Raw genomic sequence first — 6,000 nt, forward strand, 5'->3', positions numbered from 1 at the left:
ATCTCTTACTACTATCACGTTGGGGAATAGGTTTCAACATATGAATTTTGGAGGACACATTCAGACTATAATATCATCTCATTTTCATCTGGTTCCAGTAGTCTACACTTTTATGTGCTATTAACAAATATATTTAAGAAATCACGCAGCATTCATTAAAACTTAAAGAAAATACTGACGTAATTTTTTGGTACTTTTTCTCCCTCTCATCAGAAGCTCTAGAAAGGGGGGCTATATCATGTGTTTGGTGTAATGCATAATATTTTGTGCCAGAGCAATCTTTAAAGTTGTTGTACGTATTTCCACAATAGTAGCCCTTAAGAGTGAATAACAAATTTCTTTCATATATCCCAAATATTCAAATATCAGCAATGAAATATCTTCCTTTTGATCAAATGTCAACTACGAATTTGGGGATTTGTTATGAAAGCTGTTAATTGGTATATGATCAGAAAGAAATTATTTTAAAATAATCTCTGACATTTCTGTCATAAATCATCATGTCACATTCAGCTCTATCATGGTGGTTTATAAGAGGAGAATATAAACATGACACAATTTGTCAATAAAATCTAATGCAATAGAGTCCCATATAATATGAAATAAGATTGAAGAAAAAAATCAACCACTTCAGATTTGAAACTGATTGTCAATTGCCATAAACACCTACCCTGCCTTTTCTGTGACTATAACTAAAATATTCTTAAGGCTGAATTAAATGAAAATATTCTTTACTATAATAAAGATTTTAATTCTTTTAGTGGAATAAATAGAATTTTCCCCCTCTCCATAAACTGAGGAAATGTAAGCACATATTTTATCAATAAAAGCATCATTAAAAAGCAGACATAGAAAATAAAGTATCTACAGAACACTTAAACTGTATTCCAGATACTCGATTACACACACACACACACACACACACACACACATTTCTCAAGGAAGTTTTTATTTAATCTGATTTTATAGGACTACTCATGGAGACATTTGGAGGTCAAATATATCACATAGAATTATGGAATTATTTCAATCCTTTCATAACAATGCAAAAAGATATAGGAAGTTTTATCTATTCATTCTGTTTTAACAGACATATTCTTTCTTTCTTTTTCTGACTTAAATAAGGAGCTAACCCCAAAAGGTATAAAGACTACTAGATTGTGAATGCACCAGATATTTGACGCAATATGTAAAGCCTGTCACATTAAGTAAGAAAGGTTATTTTTAAAAGAATATTTGAGTATATAATTCCTATTCATCTGCCTTTCTTTCAGACTATACACAGATTTTTATATAAATTATAAAAGGTGGTTCTATAGATGAAAGCAGTTTGTAATTTATAGAGACCATTTTCTTCTCAACTTGGTAGTCTTTCTCATAGCTGTTTCATTATTAGGCAAACCAATTAAGTGTGCTCAAAGTAAGCCACATATGCTAAGTACACAATTTGTATAAAATTCTAATCTGTTCATTACCTTTATACCAGTGATTTTTTTTCTTGACTTGGAGTAGTGGGTTCACTTTTTTAATAAGAATTTTGTGTTAAAAATGGCATGTTGAAATGCCTGACATGAGAATTCTCAAACTGTCTTAACTAGATTTTGGCATTTAATAAGCTGTAAACTGCTGAAGCTATTTGCAGATGAAGTCTCATTTTTGTCCATCAGCAGGGGGCTGGAAGCATAATTAATTGAGTGAAAGTTAAAAGACGGACAGCACGGTTACATTTATGCAAATATTGCAGCAGAACATCTAAAGGAAGAGAAAAATAGCTTGCAACCAATTGGTTTGGTTTTGGACCAAAATCCACAGGGTCCATTTAAACATTGCAGATTGTGCAACTGACAATTAAGACTTATAGTGTTTTTTAATACTAGCTGTGATGGTAGAAATAGCAGGCAAAAAGTTGAAGTCCAGAGAGACAATTCTATTTCTGCTCTCATCTTTTTAACCTCTCATGAATGTTAAAATATAGTTGCAAAAAATCAAAAATCAAATGATGCATGTGTGTTCAACCATATGCCAGGCTCTGCTGTTTGTTTCTTTTATTCATATCCCAGGCATATGTACCCTTGCACACTAAAGGTTCCATTTAATTAAAGTTAGTTAAAAGCTTAGACCACAGAGATCAGGACAGCTGCTTGAGATATTAACCTAGGTGCTGTCTGGGGACAGCATGAAGCCTTTGCTGTTATTCTGTCTCCTATTACATATTTTGGTGGGGTTTTTCCTAATAGTTGTTTTCTCACAAGGCTGCTGACTTTTTCTTAAACGGCTGGGAAACATTAGATTCCCCAATGATCACAGGAAATTTCAAATTGAAATTTTGCATATCCCTCATTTGTATGTTTTTTTTTTTCCTCATGACTGTAAGTATCTGCATGACTACCTTAGTGATTGATTTTTGACTAGTCTCTGTGTTTGTCTTTGATTTGTTGGCTATTCAAAGACACTGCTTCCCATAGAGAAATTTCAGTATGCTTTTTGTTTTTACCTCTCACATGTCTGTTCTGATAGCAGGTCTAGCTGAGGTTTTAATTCTAACTTACCAGCATGGCACATGTATACATATGTAACTAACCTGCACAATGTGCACATGTACCCTAAAACTTAAAGTATAATAATAAAAAAAAATGCAACCTAAGTTAGATCAATTAGCAAAACTAGAATTGGTTTTGTGTGTGTGATGTAGAATTCTGTGTGTACCTACTTTGGACTAATGGAAAAGCTTAATTTTTAGAACTTCTAAAAATATTCCTAACTTCAATTACAAATATTGTCAGTCCTATTCAACATTTTACTAAAAAAGTTTAATTCTAAAAATAAATGGAATACAACATATTTGGTGGTTTCAAGGATATGGTACAGATTTTAAATACAAATCAAACCCCACCCCCAAAAAAATCATGGGATATTCTCAGTGAAGGACTGTAAAATCTTTGTAAAAGAATCTAAGCTAAAAAGTTTGTAAACATTAAAAAGCCAGGAGCAGTGCATGTGTTTATAGCCCCAGCTGTTCCGAAGGCTTAAGAGGAAGTATCGCTTGAGTCAGAGTTCGACACTACCTGGCTAACAAAGCACATTCAGTTTCAATTAAAACAAAAAATGAAGGAGTAGTGAACTAACTTAAAGTAAATACATTCTCATACAGGTCTTCAAGATTTGACTGAACTTCTAGGCCGATTGTGGTGGCTCATGCCTATAATGTCAGCACTGTGGAAGGCTGAGGCAGGTGCATCACTTGAGGTCAGGAGTTTGAGACCAGCCTGGACAACATGGTGAAACCCGTCTCACAAAATTACAAAAATTAGCCACGCGTGGTGGCAGTGCCTGTTGTCCCAGCTACTCGGGACGCTGAGGAGGAGAATCACTTGAGCCCGGGAGGCGGAGGTTGCAGTGAGCCGAGATCACACCACTGCACTCTAGCCTGGGCAACAGATCGAGACTCTGTCTTAAAAAAATAAATGAATAACTGAACTACCCATACTATTTATATTTTATGAAATTCTACTCCTTAGTATAAAATGTTTTGCTGTATAATTCAATGCTTTCTTCATCCAAGTCAAGACATTAAATCCATAGTGAAAATATTTTATATATACTGTCACACTTTATTTCATAAATGTTTAATGTTTAATTACCTCTCAGAAGTTTATTTTAAATATGGAATATGATTACATAATTTTCAGTATTATCAACCGCTTTATATCTCATAAAATATGTTTTCTCTCATAAGTATATAGCTATTGTATAATGTTTACAGCACAAACAGTAAAAATATTTTAGGATTTATACTATAAAGAAAAATATTGAACCATTTTTTATCAATAATTCCTTTTAAAAATTCATATAACCTGCCATAAATTTTAATATAATATAATGTAATATAATACATATATATACACATGATGTATGTGTGTATATATATACACATATATAAGATCTAATTCTGAAAATGTTCTGTGTTCTATATTTCATTAAGCATAGAATCAAAGAAATATTTCTGATGTAAATTCATTTTAAGGCAAATACTTGTGCAATTAAAAAGACTTTCACTTTCTAGTTATTAGCGTTATCTTACATACCTTTTGCAAGTGAGATTCTCCTAGGTAAAGCACAAGAGTTTTGGTTTGTGTGTGTTGTTTGAGCTTTCATGTCAAAAATAATGTTATTTTTATTATGGAAGAGTAGAGCAGTGTTAGATATTTTGAGACACTCCTGACTTTACAATCATATCCAAAATGTTTAAATTTTCTAATCATTTAGAATATCCTCTTTCTTATTGTTCAGTGTTTCATGTGAATGTTTCATCTTAGGAAGGAAAAGTACAGGTTTCCTATGTTGATGGAGAAATGTTCTTTGGTTGAGAAATGAGAAACATTGTGTTTGCTGCCGAGGAATAAATACTCTGTCTCACCTAAAAATAATAAAATTTCTAACATTTTATGACATTACCATTTTTATTTCCATATTTTGAATCAAATTTCTTAAGAATTCTTCCTCTTGGATATGAAGGTGAAATTAAAATAGGAAATGGGAATATTAAGCTAAATAAATCAGAGGACATTTATTTTAATAATACAAAAGTCACCATTTGAAGACAAAAAAATTAGGTACTCTGCTAGCCAGTTCAAAAGACATAAGCTATTTTATGCTAAGCTAAATTATAAGATCATGCCTCTTGTTTACTGTTTCTGAATATAACAGAAAGAATTTGAGGAGATAAAATAATAAAAGGTATCCAGTTTTAGAATCTCTGAGTAGTAATTAGTCAGCATATGTGTTACTCTTGATTAATAAATAGAAAAGTTTCTAGCCTAAGGAAAAGGAAGATAAAAGAAAAAGAATCAACCAACATCTGTCTTTTAGTGTACATCCCTCTGGGATAACTACCAGTTAAAACTACTAAAAAAGAATGGCAATAAAGTTTCTGCTGGTTGTGAGTTAGTCAAGCTTGTAACCCCTCTTGCCTTGGAAACCTCATGAAAAATGAACATGGTGAACACAAAACTACTTCTAACAAAGTTGTTTGCCAAATTTCTACCAAGATGCACTATGAAATTCTATAGACAGTATGTTGTGATAAGATTAAATATTACACTTATGGGAAAAATTTAATTCCTGCTAATATTTACTCTGTTGATGCTAGAGTGTTTCTAGAATCTGAATAAAATAACCAGGTGATAAGTGAGATTTCTTGTTACTTTTCTGCTTGTTATTTAACCCTCTCTAATTAGTTGAGTCAAACTAACTGACATTTATAGGGGTTTGGATTATAACATCTAAGCATAAAAATGTGTATATGTGGTTTATATAAGTCTCTGAATTTATCTGTCTAGGAATGGAGGGGAAGGATGCAGACATGGTAATTCATTTTATATTATTCATAATGTATCAGATGTAAAAAGATTATCTACAGTTCAGAAAGAATAAATCCTGTTTACAGGAATGTGTAAGTCAATGGCCACATAAATATAGTATTTTTTCCTTCTGGTAGAAGCATGTGTAAGAAAGTAAGAGAAGGGTAAAGACATTTGCCTATTGGTCAGTTTCTTTTTTTATATTCCGAAAAATCTAAGTCTCAAATCAAAATAATAATGATTAGATACATTTTTACACATGTAACATATGTCAGACACCACGTTTCCAATTCATTTCATCATTTTTTTCTAGTTGTATATATAAGAAAACCGGAGTATAATGAGGTCAAAGGATTAGGTTTAAAAAATCCATATGATAGGAGGAGGAGGCAGGATTTGAACTCAAGCCTATTGGATCTCAAGGTTCAAACTCTGAAATATATTAGGAGCTATCAATTTTTCTAACAGAAAATTAAACAGTCATTTTAATGATGGGGCAGTTTCCTGTGTTTTAGAGATTTGTAAACATTTATTATTTTTTCTTTTCATTAAATTAAGTTAAATAGTGGGAATACCAGTCATTGTAGTTTTGTTTGAATTCTGACTCTACCACTTATTAGTTGAATTGTATTGAGTAAAT

Source organism: Homo sapiens, chromosome 13 (assembly GCF_000001405.40).
Source record: "Homo sapiens chromosome 13, GRCh38.p14 Primary Assembly".
Classification (NCBI taxonomy): Eukaryota; Metazoa; Chordata; class Mammalia; order Primates; family Hominidae; genus Homo; species Homo sapiens.